We start from the raw sequence: 25,543 nt of genomic DNA, 5'->3' as shown, positions 1-25,543 counted from the left end.
TGATTATTCTTCCATGGGAAAGACATCCTCTTTTCCACACTATTGGGAAGAAAAATAAGGGAATTGATACTTACTGAGCACGATGAGTCTGTTTAGTTTGCCCCAGATCCACTCTCAATCCTTATTTAATCTGTTTCACAGCTGACTCCTGTGACCTTAATGGACTTCCTTACCAAATGGCTTCAAGTTAGGTTTAACCAATAGAAGACCCTGGAGGAAACTAGAGGGACGAAAAGAGAGGGAAGAAAGCTACACAATTCATTTCCCAATTCCCCAGTGATTGCCAAGGGCTGGGCACATTTCTCCACAAAAGGTCTCAGCACCTGCCTGATAGTTCTCCCTACACAGCCTTCTTAGGTTCTCCCTGGATCCCAGGAAACACTTCTTCTGCTCACATCTTCAGGCCTAAAGTTGGTGACCCCAGAATATTGTACTATATCTTGTAGTTTTCCTCTGCCCTGCCTACACATTGCCCTGCTCTACATTTTCCTCAAGTTTTCCTAATTTGAATGGGCCATGTTTTCTGGCAGGACTCGGACTGATGAAGCCCCAGTTGTTTTATGATATTTGCTAGATGTTTTGTTTTGATGATTACAACAGTCCTACAGAGTAGATACTCTTAACTCCATATTATAGATAAGGAAGCTGAGGTAATACTGCCCTATGAGGTGATATTGCGCTATGAGAAACAGCTAGCAAGTGAGCAGTTAGAAGTCAAACCCAGATCTGTCTAACTTCAAGCCCTTGGATTTTCAGCTATTTCTTCTCAATACTGAAGATATATCTCATAGGATGCCTGGAGAAACAGGGAGTTTTAAGGCACAAAAATGGCAGAATGGTTCAAATGCTTTATTCAAAGTTAACCTTTATAAAGCCATTCAGAGGCCCCAACTGTCTTTAGTATTACATGCAAAAAAAAAAAAAAAAAGATCCTGCAGACACAATAATTGAATGTAATTTATGTCTTTACTGTAGTTCCCTAAAAAGGAGCCAGGAGTAGATTACATTTATAATGCAAAGCCAAACTTCTTAAAGCCTCTTTCCGTTATCATTCTCCCTGTCTATATATGTCACATATGGCAGCTACTCACAAAATCAAATCTTTTTCCTAACCACCTCCATGCTCTCAAGATCTCCAATAACATACTTTCGGCCTCCTAGTCCCTTTGTCCTTTCTTTTTGTTGTTGTTTTCCTCCTGCCAGTAACTCTCTGCCTTTTCCAACAAAAATCCCTCTTGTCAGGACAGCATTAGGATAAATATCTAATGCATGTGGTGCTTAACACCTAGATGATGGGTTGATGGGTGCAGTAAACCACCATGGCACATGTATACCTATGTAACAAACCTGTATGTTCAGCACATGTATCCCAGAACTTAAAGACTAAAAAACCCTTTTGTCTTTTATTTCTTTTGGTTCCTGTCCTCAATTAACACACAACTGAAGAACTACTTGATAGCTACCTGAGCAACATATGCATTTTGTTGGGAGACTGGGAGTTTTGTTAATATACGAAGCTATTTGTTAACAGTTTTTCTGCCACATAGTATAGATTTACTGTTATTTCTTCAAGAAGAAAAGATGTTGGTGTCTCATATAAAATCTATGCTAAGGATAAAATATGTATTACAATTGCCTGGAGCAAGAGAAGGGTAGTGGGAGAGAGTGAAAGGACTATTCAATTCACATCATATCCATTCCTTCAATACACCAGCAAGCTATAGTGTAAATATTTGTTTGAACTCAAGTGTTTGGAACTCTGGACATATTTTGAGAAACATCATTACAGACTACATTTTTTAATCCATCATAAATAGTATTTGCATTAAAATTATAACAATTAATGATGATATTTCCTTATCAATAAATTCACCCTCTGTCTTCTATGTCCCAATCTAGTGACGCGATCATACAGTCAAGCTGACCCAAGAGGAGCTCTATCTACTAGAAAGTGATTCTAAGAACCATTACATTTCACAGCTTTTCTTAAACACCTTAATTGGCAGAATTCAGTAAAAGGTAGAATAAGTCAGTACAAGCAATTTGCAGTAGTTTTTTTTTTAAAGTAACATTTATAGTTTCAGAGCTGTTTATCCCAAAGCATTCTCTTTGTCAAGGCAAAACGGAGAGTAAAATATAAGAGGATGATTCACTCTCAGACTTGAAAGAAAGACACTCACAGGGACATTAGACAATGAAGCCAGCTCATTCCAAATCTATCTGTGGTTCATGGAGATGACAAGGATCTTCATTTCCCTGGTTTCAAAAAAGGCATCAATCACATTGAGAAAGAGTCAGTTTGTCTTTTCACTTGCACCCTGTAGGGTCAGGAGTAGAGAAGGTAGAGAACCAACACTTGCTGAGCACCTGCTGTGTGAGATATCACCGAGTAATTAATAACTTACCCTATATCACAAAAATAGAAAATATGGAGGCTGGGAGCTGAGGAGTATTTATATGTTTGTTGTCAGACCTCTCCACCTCCACCCTCCTACTAAATTATAATATCTGTGGAAGCAAGCAGCCCATCAGTCTGTTGCTAAGTCCCCAGAGCCTAACATGTTAGGTTGGTGCCAAAGTAATTACGATTTTTGCCACTACTTTCAATGGCAAAAACTGCAATTACTTTGGCACCAGCCTAATAGTACCTGACACATAGAAGGAGCTCAACAAGAATATATTGAATAAATGAACAAATGAATGAGTTCCTTCTGACTTCAAAGCCCAGGGTTATTCCACTTCATCTTGCTTGTAGCTGGAAAAACAAAACTCAAACAGTGGTTGCCCTTAGATTTCGAGATGTCTTCTATGCAGTGTATTGATATTAGGATAGTATTTCTTCCGTTACAAACAAAATAGTTCCCCGCCACGTAAGTTTGCATTGAAAAACTACCCAGTGACATCAAATTCAAAATGTATACCACAATTTTTGTTAGCAAACAAATCTAGTTCCCTTAATGATGATTGACCACTTAACTTCTACCCCTACAGTTAATGTGGGAGCAAATTGGAAAACAAAGTTGAGCAGAAACAATTACATTATAATGGAAATTCTGAGGAATATCTCATACTGTTTTAGGTTTGCTTTGGCTGTGTTTGCAGCCAAAATTCAGTCACAGTCAATCAACCGATTGTTTCCTCTGCATTACACCAAAGGAGTGGTTGTTCTAATTTTTTTTTCTTTGTCACTGAATTGATGAATTGCTTTGGCATCAGGTAGGTCAGGTAGTCAGCTTTTATCTTGGGAAATAATCATCTTCTGCTGGGAGAGCTATTCGGCTGTGTGGTAGTGCTTTATCATAGGCAGCACATAAGTGGTGCTGTTTGCAATTTGATAAACGTGCACAAGGCTCAGAGGTCCCCAAACACAAGTCTCATATGTAAACACAATCAAATCATGCTGTTAACTAGGGAACTGAATTGTCATTGCTCATCGTTCTCTGTCTTTTCCACTCCTCTGTAAAAAAAATCCTCATACCTCATTCTGTACAAGCAAATTGAGAGGCGTTTCTCAGTTCTGGGTAGCATTAAGATGAGCATCAAATATTTTCTATCTGCTTTAAACTGAATTTTTGATGGGGAAATACCATATTAAAACAATTTTATAAGAAACTGGAACATGGCGAGTGTGGTGGCTCACGCCTGTAATCCCAGCACTATGGGAAGCTGAGGTGGACGGGTCACATGAGGTCTGGAGTTCGAGACCAGCCTGGCCAACATACCAAAACCTGGTCTCTACTAAAATTACAAAAATTAGCTGGGTGTGGTGGCATGTACATGTAATCCCAGTTACTCAGAAGGCTGAGGCAGGAGAATTACTTGAATCTGGGAGGTGGAAGTTGTAGTGAGCTTAATCATGCACTGCACTCCAGCCTGGGCAACAGAGTTGAGACTGACTCCATCTCAAAAAAAAAAAAAAGAAACTGGAGCACTTTCAAAGGCTTTAAGGACATATCAAAATACTGGGGACTATCTAAGAAATGCAGAAGGATAGCTAGTTTTTTAAAACTTTTCTTTCCCAAAGCCTTTGGAATCATAACACTTCAGGTTAGGAGAAACCAGAAATGTTGCATGTATGTGCAACACACACACACACACACACACACCCCTACCTGTCTCTCTTTAGACACTAAGGACAAAAGTTAATTGTTTTAATTATTGCCAACATTTCTGCAGTGGATATTAACTGCATTTTAAAAATTATGAAATTGAAGCAGAAAAATTAAGCAACTTGCCATAGGTCCCATATTTAGTAAGTGGAAGAATTAAAATTGGAACCCAGTTTTATCTCTATGTCTTAACTACTACATGCACCACCACACTTCTATAATATTCCTGCCAATGTATGCTTGAATTCCTTTTTTGAACCAGTCCATGAACTCAGTTTATCCCATCCTCAGACATCTCTATTTGAATTGCCTACTCTATGCAGTGAATTAAAAGTTGTCTTTCTGTAACTCCCGCCTAGTGATCCTAGGTCTGGCTTGAGGCCTTTCTGAGTAAGTGCAATCCCTCTTCCAAGTGACAAGCTTTTGAATATTAAAAGCTGGTAATCATGTCACCTTGAGCTTTCTTTCTGGAGCCTGGGTAAATATTCCCAGGTCCTTCAGCCATCTTTTCTATAACACGGTTTTGTTTTCTTGGTTACTTTCTATCGTATATGTCTTCCTCTTAAAATATGGCTCAGTATTACTCATAAGATTTCAGCTTTCGTCTGGCCTCCCTAAGATGACCAGAAATCTTACCACCCTCAATCTATTAATGCATTGACTGAATTAAAATTTCTCTCCTCCCCAGCAATCCTGTTTTTAAATCTATACTTCATGGGAATGCAGCCTTGCCTCAGAGTCCCCCAGACCCCACACACAATGTCAAATCTGTAACAGTCCTCTTCTAAAAATGCAAAGCAAATCCTACATGAAATTAACCAGAGCACCCAATGGGACTCTATTTTATGAAACTTAATCCACTTTAGTGTCCTGCTTCTCTCCCTAAAGCCTCATGGTCCAAGCATCCTCTATCTTTAAAAAGTCTATAAATCCTTAAATGTCTGCCACAAACCCAGTTACTCTCCCAGGAAAGTACATGCATATCTCATTTTATTGTGATTCACTTGATCGTGTACTGCATTTTTTTTTTTTTTTTTTTTTTACAAACGGGAGATTTGTGGCAGCTCTGCTTCAAGCAAGTCTATCAGCACCATTTCTCCAACAGCATGTGGTCACTTCATGTTTCTGTGTCACATTTGGGTAATTCTTGCAATATTTCAGATGTTTTCATTATTATTATATCTGTTATGGTGACCTGTGATCAGTGATCTTTGATGTTACTATTATAACTGTTTGGGGGTACCATGAACCACTCCCATATAAAACTGTGAACTTAATTGATAAACGTTATGTATATTGTGACTGCTCCACTGACTGACCGTTCTCCCATCTCTCCCTGTCTCCTTGGGCTTCTTTATTGCCTGAGATACAACGATATTAAAATTAAGCCAATTAATAACCCTACAATGGCTTCTAAGTGTCCAAGTGAAGGGAATAGTTGTACATCTCCCACTTTAAATCAAAAGCTACAAATGATTTTTAGTGAGGAAGTTATGCCAAAAACAGATAGGCCAAAACTCATTCTCTTGCACCAGTCAGTTAGCAACACTGCTAATGCAAAGAAAATTAACATTGTTAATGCAAAGGAAATTAAAAATGTTATTCCATTGAACACATTAATGATAAGAAAGTGATATGAATAATGATAAGAAACAGCATATGCAGAAAGCTTTGGAGATCTGGATAGATCAAACTAGACACAACATTCCCTTAAGCCAAAGCTTAAGCCAGACAAAGGCCCTAATCTTCAATTCTGTGAAGGCTGAAAGAGGTGAAGAAGCTGCAGAAGAAAATTTGGAAGCTACCAGAGGTTGATTCATGAGGTTTAAGGAAAGAAACTTTCTCTATAACATAAAAGTACAAGGTGAAGCAGCAAAAGCTGATGCAGAAGACTCAGCAAGTTATACAGAAGGTCTAGTTAAGATCATTGATAAAGGTGACTACTCTAAACAAATTTTCAGTGTAGACAAAACAGTCTTAATTTGGAAGAAGATGCCATCAAGGACTATCATAGCTAGAGAGAAGTCAGTGCCTGGCTTTGAAGCTTCAAAGCACAGGCTGACTCTCTGGTTAGGAGCTAAGGCAACTGGTGATTTTAAACTGAAGTGTTCATTTACCATTCTGAAAATCCTAAGGGCCTTAAGAAATCTGCTCTGCCTGTGCTCAATGAGATTTTATTGTTTTAAATTTTATTTAAACACAATGGATGACCTCACATCTATTTACAGCATGATTTACTGAATATTTTAAGTCCACTGTCAAGACTTACTTCTTGGAAAAAAGATTCTTTTAAAAATATGGCTGCTCATTGACAATGCACCTGGTCAACCAACAGCTCTGATAGAGATGTATAAGTGGATAAATGTTGTTATCATGCCTGCTAACACAACGTCCATTCTGCGGCCTATGAATCAAGGGGTTAATTTCAACTTTCAAGTTTTATTATTTAAGAAATACATTTTGTAAGGCAATAGCTGCCATAAATAGTAATTTCTCTGATGGGTCTGGGATAAGTAAATTGAAAAACTTTTGGAAAGGATTCACCATTTTAGATGCCATTAAGAACATTGGTGATTCATGGAAGGAGGTCAAAATATCAACATAAACCAGAGTTTTAAGAAAGTTGATTCCAATCCTCATGGATGACTTTGAAGAGCTTGAGACTTAATTGAAGGGAATAACTGCAGATGGGATGGAAGTAACAAGAGAACTAGAAGTGAAGCCTGAAGGTGTGACCAAATTGCTACAGTCTCATGAGAAAGCTTGAATGGATGAGAAGTTACTTTTTATGGATGAGCAAAGAAAGTTGGTTTCTTGGGATGCAATCTACTCCTGGTAAAGATGATACAAACGCTGCTGAAATGACAAGACAAGATTTAGCGTATTACGTCAACTTAGTTGATAAAGAATGACAGGGTTTACGAGGATTGGCTCCAACTTTGAAAGAAGTTCTACTGGGGGTAAAATGCTATAAAAATTCACATGTCACAGAGAATATATATATAACTATATATTTATATATATTTACATATATTGATATAAATATAACTATATATATTAATATATATTTATATATTTATATAAATATAACTTTATGTATTTATGTATATTTATATATTGATATATATTTTTATAAACTATATTTATATATATTTATATATATAAATATAACTATATGTATTTATATACATGTATATAAATATATGTATTTATATATATTTATATAAATATAACTTTATGTATTTATATACATGTATATATATTTATATACATGTATATAAATATAACTTTATATATTTATATAGTTATATTTATATATATATATAAAATATATATATAGTTATATACATATATAACTATATATATAAATATAACTATATATTTATATATAATATATAGTTATATTTATATATATTATATATATTATATATATAAATATAAGTATATATTATATATATAATAAATACATATATAAATATAACTATATATATAGTTATGTAAATATAACTATATACTTATATATAGTTATGTAAATATGACTATATATACGTATATATAGTTATATTTACATAACTATATATACTTACATATAGTTATATTTAGATAACTATATATACGTATATATAGTTATATAAATATAACTATATATGTATATATAGTTATGTAAATATAACTATATATGTATATATAGTTATGTAAATATAATTATATATGTATGTATAGTTATGTAAATATAACTATATATGTATATATAGTTTTGTAAATGTAACTATATATGTATATATAGTTATGTAAATGTAACTATATATGTATAGTTATGTAAATATAACTATAGATACGTATATATAGTTATGTAAATATAACTATATATATTTATATATAGTTATGTAAATATAACTATATTTATATATTCATGTAAATATATTTATATATTCATGTAAATATAACTATATTTATATATATTTATGTAAATATAACTATATGTTTATATATATTTATGTAAATATAACTATATGTATTTATATATTTATGTAAATATAACTATACATATTTATATAAATTTATGTAAATATAACTATACACATTTATATATATTTATGTAAATATTACTATACACATTTATATATATTTATGTAAATATAAATATATATGTTTATATATTTATGTAAATATAAGTATATATATTTTTATATATGTATGTAAATATAACTACATATTTATATATATGTATGTAAATATAACTATATATAGTTTTATATATATTTATATAAATATAACTATATATAGTTTTATATATATTTATATAAATATAACTATATATAGTTTTATATATATTTATATAAATATAACTATATATAGTTTTATATATATTTATATAAATATAACTATATATAGTTTTATATATATTTATATAAATATAACTATATATAGTTTTATATATATTTATATAAATATAACTATATATAGTTTTATATATATTTATATAAATATAACTATATATAGTTTTATATATATTTATATAAATATAACTATAGTTTTATATATATTTATATAAATATAACTATAGTTTTATATATATTTATATAAATGTAACTATATATAGTTTTATATATATTTATTTAAATATAACTACATATAGTTTTATGTATATTTTATATATAAAAAATATATATGTTTTATATATATATAGTTTTATATATATATATATAGCCACAGCCACCGCAACCTTAAGTGACCACCACCCTGATCAGTGACCAACACCCATCAATGAGGCAAGACCCTCTACCAGCAAAAAGATTACACCAGCAAAAAGATTAAGATTACACTAGCAAAAACATTAAGATTACACTAGCAAAAAGATTAAGACTCAGATGATTGTTAGCAGTTTTTAGCAGCAAAGTATTTTTAAATTAATTATGTACATGTTTTAGGCATAATGCTGTTGCACTTAATAGACTACAGTATCTTATAAACATAACTTTTACATGAACTGGGAAAGCAAAAAATATTTCTGACTTGCTGTATCATGATATTAACTTTATTGTGGTTATTTGTAACCAAGCCCACGATATCTCTGAGATAGGCTCGTACTCCAAGGCTTTTCTTGCTTAATTTGTCATTACTGTTAAAAAGGTACAGTCACTCATTACCCTTGCCATTGCTGATGAGGCCAACCAGGAACAGGTGCATGACTCAAGTAACTGCACATGAACTGATCATCTCTGGAGTGGCTATTATTAACTACAGGGGAAAAAAATATATATATATGTGTATATATATATATATATATATATGTGTATATATATATATATATATATATATATATATGTGTATATATATATATATATATATATATATATATATATATATATATGCTTCTTATCAAATGGGGCCAAAGCAACCTCATCGTATATTCTTTTTAGATGCAAGAATGTTAGTCTTCAAGCTCCATTGTGTGAGAGAATTGTATTTGTTTTAACTTGTGAACTTTAATTTTAGTGCAAGTCTCCATTTGACTGGGGATTAATCTCAGGCAATTAAAGGTCTCCCTTCTTTGGGAGAAGTTACCTTTAGTTTGGGGGAGTTTATGGAGTGCCAGTGCTTTGCTGGGGAGAGCGCATCTGATTTGGGTTGTCGTTTATCCTCACCAGCATCTATCAAGTTGTCTTCCTCCTTGGGTCCCCTCCTGGTTTTCAGTCATTGCTGCACTTGGGTTTGGGATATGTCACCTCAATTGTTGAACACAGGCCTTCTCTTGACACTTGGGATTATTCTTCCTAAGCACTTGGGATGATATGTTTTGCAACTTGCCACACAGAGCCACAAAAACTCCGTAAGGCTGTTTGTGTCTCTTTCTTAATTTGCATTCTCCCAAATCTCTGGCACACACACCCTCTTAGGCTCCCTCTGAATTCCCAAACTTTTGAAATACAAAAATCAAGGAAAGACCCTTTGTTTCTCCTTTCAGTGTGCCATTATTTTCTTGCGATGAGCTTAGAACCTCCTTTCTATTACCTAAATGGCAAAAAGAGATTGTAAGAATAAAAAATCATTTAAGTTGCTATCCAAAAAACATTAGTCTTCTGGAAGCATAAATTCAGGGCACACACAAAGATAGGAAGATTCACTCAAGTCCAATGGCTTCACCAAATGACAATGGAGGGAGTCGTCTAGTTTCATAAGAAATGTGCCTCACATACCATCTTAGGCTCTCCTAAGTGACTTGACTGCTAATGTGACCTTTTCTTCCTCTATCTCACCATCTATGTTCTTGCAATAAACTCCTATCTTTGTCAACCATCTGTGCATGTCACTTCCTTGTGGCCCAGAAAAAAACTGACTGGCAGAATTAGTAAACAACATTATAGACTCCATAACACCTCCACATATCCACACACATACATACACACATACATACACACACCTATACACACACCTTTCTGCAGCAACACTGGTTGGTAACTAGATATCTGCAATAAGACCCACTGTGAAAAGATGAACTGAACCAAGCAGATTCTTGCTTTCAAAAGTTTAAACTGAGGAACAATCAACAATCAGATAATAATCATACCAGAAAACATGTATTGAGCAGATACTGTGTGGGAAGCATTGTGCTAATTGATTTATATGCATATTTCATTTAAACCTCACACCAATCATTTAAAGTAGGTATCATTACTGTCTTTACCTCATAGGTGACCAAATTAAGACAGAGAAATCAAGTAACATGCTGAAACTCATGTATCTAAAGCCAGGATTGGAACCCAATGATTCTGACTCCTGAGTCTAGGCTCTTAGCCACCTGTGTGACAAGAAACAGATGCAGGAAGAAAAGCCATATACAGTGTTAGGGTCATAGTAAACTAAAATTATGAAGAAACAGAAAATGTGTAGTGCCACAAGCTTGTGCAGTGATGTGGGGAATGGGAGGAAGATCTAATCTAATCAGAAGCATAACTAGATCATTCTGAAGAAATGACATTTGGGCTGAGATCAAAAGGTTATATCAGAGCTAGCTAGTCACCAGAAAGTGAGAATAGCACCTGCACAGCCCCACATGGGCTTGAAGGAAGCCCGGAATAGCTGGAGCAGAGAGAGTGTCAGGGAGACTGGTGAGCAATGACACTAGAAAAGAAAGTAGAAGCCACATCATGCTAGGCCTTGTAAAGGATGTTAATAAATTTTACAGGGAATAGCCATCCCGCAAGCAGCAGCTCAAGTCCTGAGTTTCCATCACCTCTTACCTCAAGCAGTTATCATGGATGAACAAACAGGATTGCAAACTCACAAGGTAGAGAGTCTGATTTGTTCAACTTGGCTGAGGTATCTCACGCTTATCCAATCAGCAGGAGGGGGCAGGGTCACATGTTCACCGGAGCCCATCAGTGAAGAAAAAGGGGTTTACTGCAAATATATGTATTAGACCACAGATTGCTGCACTCACCAGCATCTTTGAAATTACAAGATTCCCAGACATACTCAGATTTACCTGGGTCACTGAGTTTTATTGTAAAGATAAAACGGGACAAAAAAAAATAAAATAAAATAAACCCTGAAGCTGACTTAATAGGCTTGGAGCCAGGTCTTACAGAAAAAGAAGTTTATTCAGAAAACAGCAGTAGCACCAACATCTACTACACACAGCAAAAGTTCTGGCCACTTGGTCCTGTGATTAACCTGGCAACAGTTATCCAATTGGAATGTTCTGCCATTAAATGTTTCTTGATGAGTCCATGGCTCTGCTTCTACTTCTATTACTATGACTTAACTCTCTCTGTATCTTCTGTTCCAGTTCCCTAAGAGCAAGGACTTGTTGGAACAGTTGCCCTGTGGTTTTAGGCTTCCCTATTGAGGAGAATGCTTCTCAAGGTCTCCAGGGATAACCTAAAGAGGGTTGCCATTGCTCCAGTTCCATTTTTTCTCCAATCTGCTGAAGGCAACACAGTGGCGCTTTGAATAAAGGACTCAAGCTTTGTGCAAGGTGACTATTGCCAACAGGAGTCTAGAACTGGCCACAAATATATTTAGTTTGACTTGCACAACATTGGCTCACACAGTACTTATTTAAGTTTAATGTTTAAGCATGAATGATTTTTGAATAGGGAAATTTCACATAAAAACTCAGATTTCCAGCTTTCCTTGAAAAATTAGAAAGCCAAGAAACACTAGCCACAGTCAACAGATACTGAGTACTATATGAGCCATTAAAAAGCACCTGAGCTCTTCACCAGAGTCCCTACGTCGGGCTCCTGTCAAAGAGTTTCACTCACTTACCTGACCCTTGTGGGCACTGGAGTTGGAGAATGCTAAGGTAAGGAGTTATGTGCAGTTACTTTAATCAAAAGGGAGTTTATGGGGAGGCAGCCACTTGAAGAGTCACCACCTATAGTACTTCACCAATTGTAGATTCAGAAACTATGGCCAGTGTGATTTCATCACTGCTGGCAGCTCCTAGAGCAACTTTGAGACAGCCTCTCAATGCTGCTAGCTAGAGTCCCTGCAAGCTGCTGCCTAAACAGCAATTGATCCTTTACTTATCCTCATAGCTTAACCCAGATGTGACCTAAGCATTTTAAAAAAGAGGCAAGGATAGAGGAAGGAAGGCCTTCTAGCACATTGGCCCAATCCCATGTCACATCTTAGAGTTCATTCTTCTCTGCTCTAATAATGCCTATTACAAAACACAGTAATAATGGCATATCCTTGCCAAACTGCATGCTTCTTCTGGTTATCAGATGACCCAGAGGGGTAGATACACCTCATGCTGGTAAAATTGGACACTCACATTTGTTGTACTAGTACGTTCATGCTTCTCTCTTGAGACGAGATGCCACACAATGTAAGGTAAAAATCATTGTTTTACAGGCCAAATTGGTGTCTACCTATCTACCAGCCATATGATCCTGGGAAAGTCACTTAATCTGTTCCTGCTTCAATTTCTTTATCCACAAAATGTTGATAATATGTGTTTCAGTGGATACCCTGAGGATGAAACACAATGAAGGTGTACACTTACTTCTTCACCCCTTTAGGGAATGAAACAATCTCAAACTCAGCTGTTTTAATATTTAAATTAAAATAACCTCTCTCACCCCAGCCCTCATATTGTCATCATGAGAAGCTTCTTCTTGCCTTATTCAGGTTCCCATCCCCCCGAAGGCCTTCTGTAATGCAAGTGCTTTGTCCTGGTTTTCCAGAGAGAAGATCTGATCAGTCCTACCAGTGGCTGCATTTTTTCAAACCTGCTGCAGCTGTCAATGTCTTAAGGTGAAAGCCACGTGGCCTCAGTGGTGAACTCATTACCAAAGCATCCCACCATGCTGCCACATGCCCCTAAACTATGAAACCCAGGAGGCCCCGGAGCCTGCAGGCTGTGCCCAGCTTAGTGCAGCTGCTGTGGTCAGCAAACACACATCATGAAAGCAGGGAGAGGCCCTGTGGGTCCAGGAGGTAAATACCACTATGGAAGCATCATCCTCTGCCCCCACCTCATGGTTCAGCTTCTGATTTTACAGATTTTCAAGCTACCCAGCTCCTTTAACAGACACTTACAATCATCCACTTTCACAAATCACACACCCAATCCAACAAAGCCGAGTTTAAAAATGTTTCCCAACTCAAAGCACACGGTGGCAGAACCATTCTCATGGGACAAAACGCCAAGGCCCCCAAAGGTGGAGAATGCCCCTCCGCTCCTTCTCAACTCCTTCCATCTCCCACCACTGGAGGAGCTTGTTTCCTCCCTGGAAAAACATGGAAACATGAAAAGTCCCTGCCGATGCTCTTCTTCACCCTGCCTTGCAATTAAAGCCTCCCCTGTACCCCTTTTAGGGCCTCATACGTTTTAGACCACCCAATGACTTAGAGACAGGCTAAAATAGGAGCTATCTGACCATTCGAGTTTACATTTCTCGGCAATTATTTAGGACAGGTGTTGCTATGGTGCCCTGCCCTAAGGAAGATGGTGAAGCAGGTGGAGTGGGTAGAGCACGGGAGGAGAAAGAGTGTAGCAGCTGAGGATGGGAACTGATGACAGATCACCTGAGATCAGACCTCAGTTGTGCCACTCCCTTGACCATGTGATCTTGACAAGTCACTTAACCTCCCTATGCCCCAGTTTTTTCTTCTATCAAATGAGGCTATCACAAAGATTATAGGAATTAATATATGTAAAGCTCTTAGACCAGTCTCTGACATGTGAAAAAAAAAAAAGAAAAAGAAAAAAAAACCATAGCAAGAGTCACCTTTATTCCAGTTCCCAACAAGCTCCTCATCTCCATCTGAGACCGCTTGAGTCTGGACTTTATTGTCCATATCACTATCAGCATTTTGGTTAAAGCTATTCAACAACTCTCTAGGAAGTTCCAAACTTTCCTACATCTTCCTGTCTTCTTCTGAGCCCTCCAAACTGTTCCAGCCTCTGCCTGTTACCCAGTCCCAAAGTCACTTCCGCATTTTCGGGTATCTTTATAGCAGCACTCCACTCTCTGTGGTACTAATTTACTGTATTAGTCCATTTTCAGACTGCTATAAAGAACTGCCTGAGTAATTTATAAAGGAAACAGGTTTAATTGACTCACAGTTCAGCACGGCTGGGGAATCCTCAGGAAACTTACACTGATGGTGGAAGGTGAAGGGGAAGCAAGACACCTTCCCCACAGGGCGGCTGGAAAGAGAAGTACTGAGCAAAAAGAGCCCCTTATAAAACCATCAGATCTCGTGAGAACTCACTCACTATCACGAGAACAGCATAAGGGAAACCACCCCCATGATTCAATTAACTTCACCTGATCTCTCCCTTGACACATGGGTATTATGGGGATTACAATTCAAGATGAGATTTGTGTGGGAACACAAAGCCTAACCATATCAGTTTGTTTCCCTCATTTGGGGAACTCTTGCTACTCCATTCCTCCAATCCCTTGCTCCCAGATAAGTGTAGAAATTTCCATGGAGAAGGACTAACATGGTACTTTTGAAAGCCAGAAGGAGGACATTGCATACCTGGCAACAACTGAGAAGACATGGCGTCCCAAATTATATTTTGCAGTCCTCAGATATTAATATATTGTTGCCAATTTTTACATCTAACTATATTATTGGAATATGCTCTTTGTTGCTTGTTAATAAAGGGAACTGTTTATGGTTGTTAAAGTTAAAGGGGCCCAAAATAGTATCATCCTTCTTTCTTATCCAAGGTGAGACTCTAATGAAAGAGAAAGAGTTTGGTAAATGAAGGAAAAAGTATCAGATTTAGCTTAGCACAATGGTGCATGCCTGTAGTCGCAGCTACTCAGGAGGCTGTAGCAGGAGGCTTGAACCCAGGAGTTCGAGGCCATAGTGCACTATGATCACACCTGTGAATAATCATTACACACCAGCCTGGGCAACACAGCAAGACCCTGTCTCTTAAAAAAGAAGTCAGATGTAATACTGATAATGCTGATACAGAAATGCTTTTAAGTATGCCGCTACACTGGGTTTACCTATACTGGATTGCACACTCCCAGTCACAGGCAGCTCTGATCTACCTTAGATAGGGCTTTTGCTGATAAGATTATATTACGACCCAGGGGAGACAAAAAATTGTGCTTTATTCAATCAGGCAGATCCCAAAGACAAGGGAGCTATGCAGGGCTGTTTCTCCCCCACAGTCATCAATAGAGTATCACCTCTCTCCACCAAGATGACATGTCTAAGGGACAGAAATAGAGCCACTAATTCTATATGGAAATATATGAATGCGGAATAATATTCCTCCTAATAATGATATTTACCTATGACCCTTCCACTTTCCAACCATGGAAGCTCAGTTGTGTTAATTTTTCTGAATTTTGTGACACTTTTAATGACAAAAATAGCTTTCAATTTTCTTCTCTTCACTGAGGCCATTTCCTCCTTGGAATCTCTCAGAGGCTCCTCGATTTCCATGAATCTTCATGAAGGTCAGTATTTCCTGGGTCCCTGTTTTTGACCCTCCTGTAACTCTAAGTAGACTTTTAGGTGGTCTTAAAAGCATGTGTGATTTCACAAAGTATTTCTTGCCCCAAATTTTCTTTCAGTCAAGCTCCAGGATTATATAACTGATTTCTTAGTAAATATCTCACTGTGACCATCCCGTCTGTTTCTCACAAAGGGCTAGATCATGGCGTCTGAATCTCCAAGTCCCAGGGCAGGGCCTGACACATAGCAGACACTCAAGAAAGAAAGGATGGAGGAAGGGTAATTGAGAGAAGGGATACAATAGAGAAAGAAGGGAGAAGGAAAGGGAAGGAAGAAAAAAAAAAGAAGGAGAGACTGAAGAAGGAAGCAAACCTGAGGAGCATTGCTTTCATTAGTAATGAAAGGGAGAAAACATTTATAACTAGACATGTTTCCAATGTGTAATAGCTTTCTGAATTGGGGGCAGTTGATTAAACTTTCTGAACTTCCATTTTCTCATTTATAAAAAAATATTTATTTCAATACATTAGTTTGAGAAGTAACCAAGTTAATGTCTGTGAAAATATCTAGTACATGTAATAAACACTCAATAAATGTTGGTTACATTAAGGTATGCATTTTAAATCATCAAAGTACTGCCGACTGCTGAATTCTTTAAAGTACTCCATTGTACTTCACTTCAGACTTGAAAACCCTGATTTTGAATAAGACACCTGGATTAGGTCCCAAAGAGCCACCATATGGAAGAATTTCACTTGGGGCTCTTCCTATAAAACCACATCAAATATATAAATGTGGGCTGACTCCAGTCTATCTTCAAGTGGGTGGGGCACCCACACTCACTGCTACAATTATGTAGTGGAGCAGCTCAGTGCTTATCTGAAATCTTGATAATTATAAAAGGAGTCATATAGTCTTAAATAGCTTCTAAAAAAACACTACTGTAAAACAGAAGATGATAGTGTTTGCCTCAAAATAGATATCCAAACCGTTCCCTTTCATGATTGAAAACATAATAGTAAACTTAACTTCCTGTCCTGAATTCCTCATTAAACTTCTCTGTAGTTGAGTGAGTTTTAGAATTTCTCCCAAGCTGCAAGTCTTCAGTGACAGGCCTGGAATTTGGTGTGGAGAGAAGAGAGGCTGCAACCAGGATTGGGAATCCAGGTGCCTGCACTCATTTCCCTTAACCTGAAAACTGGCTTGGTAGGAAGCAAGAGGCTCTCAGTATTATATGTTACCTTCAAAATGGCCAGAGGGTGTAACTCCCAGCAATTTTTTTAAAGATTATATGGTGTATTAGTTCTTTCAGCACAAGAATTTTATATATATGTATATATATATATATATATATATATATATTTTTTTTTTTTTTTGAGATGGAGTTTTACTCTGTCACCCAGGCTGGAGTGCAGTGGCATGATCTCGGCTCACCACAACCTCCACCTCCCAGGTTCAAGCAATTCTCCTGCCTCAGCCTCCCAAGTAGCTGGGATTACAGGTGCCCACCACCAGACCTGGCTAATTTTTTTTGTATTTTTAGTAGAGACGGGGTTTTACCATGTTGGCCAGGCTGGTCTTGAACTCCTGATCTCAGGTGATCCACCCGCCTCGGCCTCCCAAAGTGCTAGGATTACAGGTGTGAGCCACCATGCCCGGCCTTGTCTTAATATTTTTAAATCTCCACTCGATACCAAGCATAACTTCTGACACATTGTAGGTATTGATAATCATTAATCAAAAGAATAATAGAAAAATCAAATGAAGGGAAGATTTGAAAAAATAACCAAATGAATAATTGAATGATGAATAAATAAGAGTCTGAAGGACAGTTCAATAGGGCTTTTCATGATTTTACTTTTATGTTCAAGAGTACATCTGCAGGTTTGTTATATTGGTAAATTGCGTGTCACAGGGATTTAGGATACAGATTATTTCATCACACAGGTAATAAGCGTAGTAACTGATAGGTAGTGTTTCTATCTTCACCCCCTCTCACCTTCCACCATCAAGTAGGTCTTGGTGTCTATTGTTCTCTTCTTTGTGTCCATGTGTACTCAATGTTTAGCTCCCACTTATAAATGAGAGTATAAACTATTTGATTTTCTGTTCCTTAGGATAATAGTCTCCAGCTGCATCCTTGTTGCTGCAAAGGACATGATCTTATTCTTTTTTATGGCTGCATAATATTCCATAGTGTATACATACCATATTTGCTTTATCCAGTCTACCGTTGAGAGGCATTTAGGTTGATTCAATGTCTTTGTTATTGTAAATAGTGCTGTGATGAACATGAGATGCATGTTCTTTATGATAGAATGATTTATAGTTCTTCGGGTATATACTCAATCATGGGATTGCTGAGTTGAATGGTAATTCTGTTTTGAGTCCTTTGAGAAATTGCCAAACTGCTTTCCACAATGGCTGAACTAATTTACACTCCCACCAGCAGTGTATAAGTGTTCCCTTTTCTTTGCAAGCTCACCAGCATCTGCTACTTGATGACTTTTTAATAATAGTCATTCTGACTGGTGTGAGATGGTATCTCATTGTGGTTTTGATTTGAATTTCTCTAATGATTAGTGAGGTTGAGCATTTTTTCATATGCTTGTTGGTTGTATGTATGTCCTCTTTTGAAAGGGGTATATTCATATTCTTTGCCCACTTTTTAATGGAGTTGTTTGTTTTTTCTTGTTAATTTGTTCAAATTCCTTGTTGATTCTGATTATTAGACCTTTGTCAGATGTAAGGTTTGCAGATATTTCCTCCCATCTGTAGACTGTTTACTCTGTTGATACTTTCTTTTACTATGCAGAAGCTCTTTAGTTTAATTATGTCCCATTTGTTAATTTTTGTTTTTGTCGCAATTGCTTTTGGCATCTTCATCATGAAATCTTTGCCAAGTCAATAGGGCTTTTCAAAGTGCTTAAAGACTTACAGAAGTGTCCAAATTTGGGCTTACATATTCAAGAACTACATTTTACATGGAGTGATGAGATGTGAGGGTCTAAACCCATATTAACCTGACTCATAAATCAATGATTAATCAATTAATCAATGATTAATTAATCAGTGTCAAATTACTAATTTACATTGAGAAAACTTAACTTTTAGCACTCAAAAATGCTTAGCCTAATTTCTGACTCACAGTAGGCATGCAACCATATTTGCTGACTATGCATAATATTTAGTCAACTCAACAAATATTTAATGAGCATACGCTGTGATCCAGGCACTGAACTTAGCATGGGGGATACAGTGGTAAGTAAATCTATCATATCATGATCAGGCAAGCCTCTTTAATGGAAAAGTCTCTATGGGAACTTGATAAAAATAAAAAAGTTTGCATGTTGCATATAAAACCAGAGAAAAGAGAATCTGATGATCTCAATAATAATTTTATTATCTGCTGGGTAGATATATACATCTTTCTACCTTCTTGATCTAGTATGTCACCTTAAAAAGAGCTGGCACCAGACACTTGGATCATAAATATGGTATTTTATCCTGGGCATGCTCTTTTGCTGTGATCTCTTTACCTTCAAGCAGAGGTCCAACACACTGTCTCCTTATTTCTGCATCTTCATAAACCTCACCCAATGCTTAGTGCCTACTGGCCATCTAGCACTTTATGAAAAACTATGAAATAGTGACCATACATTTCAGACCGAAAGACATGTATGCTAATCAGTGTGAAAGATTTATGAGGATAGCAGCACTTATGAAATCTTAACTGTCATTAAACTGGGAAAAAATCCAGCACAGAGCTACTAAAACCAGACAGACGCAAGGAAGGACCAGAATGAGTTGTGATTCTACACAGAAATGAAATGGAAAAATAAGACAATGTTATGTGTATACCTGGATCTGTATATCAATATCAATATATGTGCACTCATTTGTTAGGGCTTCTGTAACAACATCATCAACTGGTGACTTAAGCAACAGAAATCTATCGTCTCACAGTTCCTGAGGCTAGAAATCCAAAATCAAGATATTGGCAGGGTTGTTTCCTTCTGAGGACTGTGAGGGAGAAACTGTTCCACGCCTCCCTCCTGGCTTCTGGTAGTTTGCTGGCAGTCTTTGGCATTCCGTGGCTTATAGGAGCATCATCGCAATCTCTGCCTTCATGTTCACATGGCATTCTCCCTGGGTGTGTTTGTCTCTATGTTCAAATTGCCCCTTTTTATAAGAATACTCATTATAGTGGATTAGAATTCACCCTAATGAGCTCATTTTAAATTATCTCTGTAAAGACCTTATTTCCAAATAAGGTCACATGCTAAGGTACTAGGGGTTAGGGCTTCAACACATCGTTTGTGGGGACACAATTCAACCCATACAATATGTTTGTCATTCACAGAAGATTTCTGCACAGTAGTCAAGAAAATATAAACAGTGACACCTTCTAGGGTGTTAGACTATGAGATCAGGGGAATTTTATTTTTTGCTTTTCATCTTTGAATACTCTATAAATTTTAACCATGAGTACATAATATTATCTTGATTTTCAAATTACAACCAGTAATGCCTTCTTGGGGCTTTCTTCATTATGTTATTGGAAATAGGCAACAGAGCATTTAACAGAAAATGAATAGCTGTCCCAAACATTCCATGTCTGAAACAAGTACTTCAGGGGGAAGCCTAGATTCTGTTTCCAGTGAACAGTGTTTTACTAAGCCATTTAATCTAGGTTGTAAGCTATCTGAGCTGGTACTAGTTTAATCACATTTTGGACACAATGCCCAGTATGTTTTTGGCCATGAACTTGGGCAAAAGGCAATGTCTGTGACCCATTTATGAGTCACCAGATCTTATTGGCTAATGCCAAACAATATCTGTTCTGTTCTTAAATAGTGGATTAATGTGGAATTTGCTGTCTCTGCTAGCATCCCCCTAAAAGGACTGCAAACATGAAGCTAAGCGTGACGATCAGAGGCGCAGGCTCATTCCTGCTGCACGTGCACTTGGCAGTTTCCTCTAAGTGCTTCTGCAGTGCCATGCCTCCAAGGCCACAAGTGTGCATCCCACAGGGCCCAGCCAAAGAACTTCAGTATGCGCCCTTTATCAGTCCCTTCAAGGCCAATGCCACACAAAATTTATTTCAACTATCTCTCCATTCAGTTCTCACGTCTATAGAGAGGAAAGTCAGCTAATGGAAACCTTTAATTTCAGTGTCAGTATGAGATTGTGTTGAAAGAGGAGTTTTAATGTATAAGTAGAGAGGGGCTATTTAATTAATCAATCAACAACTTTTACTTTCTTTAAGCTTTTGCTGAGTAGCTGGCATTGGGGCACCACGTGAGTGCAGTGATTAGTGACAGGGGCATCAGAATCAGAAAGACTTGAGTCTGAGTATTGACTCTGTTAAATACTTAAAGTTGAACCACATGATACTTCTAGCATTAAATCATCCTGAAATATAATTCACTCAAGGCAATTAGAGAGCACATTCTTTCGTAGGATAGCAAAACTAGATTACTATTTTATAAGAAATGAATTCAATGTCATGTTAATAGGAAGAAAACTAATTTCTGAAAGATGAGAAAAGTTTTCCTGAATTAAAGTTGTTGCTTTATTTTTTTCCTGCCCAATACCTTTGAATGTCTACTCAATGATGTGGTCAGGGGCCAGGCTCTTTCTATCTTCTTGCCCCACCATCCTATCACATGACTTTTTCTTCACGGTGGCTGGAGATCTATTGCACCTTTAATTATCACACTTGCTTTTCAAGCAAGAGGAAGGGAGGAGGGTCCAAACCCTTATACTTAATGAAAACTCCTCTCATCAGAAGTAAGCTTATATATCACTGGGCAGAGCTGTGGCATATCACCACTGCTGGCTAGGCTGCTTCTGAGAAAAATGAGTACTTCATCCTCTATCCCCTATGTTAGAGAAAAGCAAAGAAGGTATTTGAGAATCTGTGTTGAGTGAGCCAATCCTTGACCAAGGCAGGGATGGAGGAGAAGATATCAGTTATATAATGAGTTATTTATTTGCAAGTTATGTTTAGCTTCACATTAGGATGAGGAACTAAGATTTAGAGAGGTTACAATTGCCCCAAATTTTGAGATAGGATTAGAGCCTCGGTCATTGTGTCTCCAAAGTTTTTGCATGTAAGAACTTTGCTTGCTTGGAACAAGAATCTATAGTTTTCCTTTAAGCACCTTTGATAGGAGTAATGTTCTCTATTAAGATATAGAAGTAACAATCAAGTTTGCAGTTGGCAATATACCTCCTTGACTGGCTTTAGGACACGGTGGGAAGAACAATGATTATTCAAGGTAGAGGCCAGCTACCCTACCAGGCCATTTCAGCTGCTGCTCTCTCAATATGGTAGGCAAATATACGTCTATTTTATAGTCACTGATAAGGTGTCCAATTAGATTTAAGTAACAGTAATTGTCTCCATCTCTTGTATTAGTTGAAATTGACAAGCTAATATACCTTTTATAATCCATTTTTAAGCTATAAGCAGAAGGATGTTTGAACTATTTTCTCAAAAAGCAAAAATATACGGTTCTCAGAACTTCTCCAAAAAGGTGATCAACAGGGCACTTATCAACTATTATTGCTAAAGAGACTGATGACAGATGGAGTTAGAAGGGTTTGATTTGGTTTCCAGATACTGTAAACTGTGGATAATCTGATGCACAAAGAGTATGAAGTGTGGAATGTTAAATAAAAAGTAAACCACAAGTGCAAAAGAGTCTTATGTCATTCAGTGGCAAGGTCTTCTGCTTACTCCAATGGCTGGTTATTTAGAAGAAAGATTCATCTTCACAGTGTGTCACCTAATGATTAGGACTGTACCTTGTGGAATATAGAAATGTATCATTTCAAGATAATACCTACCTCTGCATCACAGCACTAGGTGAGTCATTGGCAAAAGCACAGCACTTATGTCCTTGAAAACGAAAACTAAACTGCATGGCATACTGAATAAGATGTGCAGCTATAGCACTGGGAATGTAACAGAATCAGATAATCAACTTTGGAAATTGAACCACAGCAAATGACTCATTCATTCATTCCACAAACCTTTATTGATCACCTACTGAGCTAATAATCACTGTGACCCTATTTGGAATAACTAGAACACAGATTAAGGGAGATAATGTCCTGCTTTAGATTGAGGGCCTAGTTAGACCAGGCACCATCTCGCTTATTAATGGCTACCTTGAAAACAAACCTATCTTATCACCCCTCTTGGGAACAAGGGGGAAATGAGCACCCTATGACTGGGAGCATGCAAAACTAATTCTTACTATGACTTTAATGGGTTTTGAAGTCTTAAGAAGCAGGAACCTTTTGTTAAATAATCAAACAATTAAGAGATTTCTGAGAATCACACAGGGCTTATCCCAAAGTAAGCAAAAAGCTATTAGTCACCTACTGGGTTATCCAATTATTTATTAAATATGGTCTTTAAAGTAACCTAATGTGTATGAATTGAACTTTGGGAGATATTAATGGCCATGGGGTATGACCTGGTGACAAATTTCGCTTAGTACTTTGCTGAATGAAGCATTTGAACCAGGCATCACATTCATGATTTCTTGTGCCCCAACACCCATCTTACCCATTAGCAAATTTTGTATTATATTGAAATTGTCTCCTAAACTCTACCATGTGTTCTCTAAGGAGCTGAGAGTGTCCCTTATTCATCTGTGTATACTCAGCAGTTAACATAAAACCTGGTATATAAAAGATTCTCAATTAATTTTTGAAAGTATATGACTATATAAGCCATTTCTTTTTCAAAGGTAAAATTCGCAACTGGTTAGGATAATTATGTACATCAGAGGTATATAAATAACTATTCTTAAATTAATAAAAAGACAAAATAAATGGATGAGTAATTTTATTTGAAAACCTGTTTTCTTCTTGGAAACACAAACAAACACACAATCCTTTCATGTGTTCACATGAAGAGGAGAAACAGTGCCTAAGTCAGTTTGGGATGCTATATCAGAATACCATAGACCTGGTGGCTCAAACAACAAACATTTATTTCTTAGAGTTCTGGAGACTGGGAATTCCAAGGTCAAGGTGCAGGCAGATGTGATGTCTGGTGTGGGCATCCATCTTGGTTTGCAGACAGCTGTCTTCTTGTTTTCTCACAGAGCAAAGAGCAGAGAGAGAGGGCATATAAGTTCACTTGTGTCTCTTCTTTCATGAGCATCCATACCATCATGAGGGCTCCCATCTCATAATCTAATTACCAACAAAAGCCCCACTTGCTAATACTATCACAGTGGGGTTAGGATTTCCACATATGAATTTTGGGTGCACACAAACATTCAGTCCATAGCAAACAGTTTTTTAAAATGAAGTCTTAAGTGTGGTCTTTGCTCTCAGGGACCCTAGCCATGTAGGCGTGATTTATAATTCACCCAATGTATAGGACCAAGTCCACAATATTTTGTTCCATTGTTTCATTGCTTATTTATTTGATTTTTATGCAGGTTCACACCATGACAATCAGGTCCTCTCAGTAGCTAATAATTGGGTGCTATTTCACACTAATGTCTGATATTCATTTCATTGGGAAGGAAAAAAACATTTGTCTTTAAATAAAATTTATACAGAAATAGATTCAGTTACTAATTTAAATTCATGTACCAAAGCATTGAAATAATTTGGCAAAATCATTTTCTCTTCTCTGCAGTTCTTGTATCTCTTTTGTTTTATTGTGATACTTAATAAACAAGACACCTTCTTGGGAGGCATATTAAAGTGTGCAAAATTTAGATAATAAAGCAAATCCTGGGACACAGCATGTATCATACATTATTCAATTTTTAGAATTTCAACAAATTTTCAGCTATGCCTGAACATGTGAATCAAAACAACATTCAACTAAGATAGGTGGGTGCTAACAAGGAGGCCCTTTTCTCTTTTCCACTTGGGGAACCTCTCTATTTTGGCAGCAGCAGGACTAATTAAGCCTCATAAGTTATGTGTGGTAGAAACCAGAGACCCTATAGTTCTGATTTATTCAAAGGATAGACCCTCCTCATCCCCCAGCCTCTTACTGGATTCTAAGATGCTGCTTTTTGTGCATGCTTCTTTCCTTTGATTAAGACTCCATACAGATCTAAGGTAATTTCATCCAGTAAAATATTAGAGCTTCAAAGGAACTGAAGAATGTTGTTCTATGATAGTCTCAGCAGAAGCTTACAGGAAAAAAAAAGATGTTATCTTAAAGAGATTCATAGAGATAACTTTTGTCTAGTGAAATGAACCCCAGTAAAATTCCCAGGACAGTCACAAAGGTTTTTAAGAAAAATGAATTAGCAGAAATGCCACTAGCTTGGATTGAAAGGAACAGATACAGATAAAATGAAAAGAGGTCTTTGGCATCCCTGAGAAAACTGCACACCTGAAAATATGGCTACTTTTTACAAAAAAATAAAAATGAAAATAACTCAGAGACAGAGAATAGAGACAAGAGCCTAGAAGGCAGAGTCAACAGCCATAAGGAATTA

The sequence above is a fragment of the Homo sapiens genome, chromosome 8 (genome assembly GCF_000001405.40).
Source record: "Homo sapiens chromosome 8, GRCh38.p14 Primary Assembly".
Lineage (NCBI taxonomy): Eukaryota > Metazoa > Chordata > Mammalia > Primates > Hominidae > Homo > Homo sapiens.
This window is presented reverse-complemented; position numbering follows the sequence as displayed.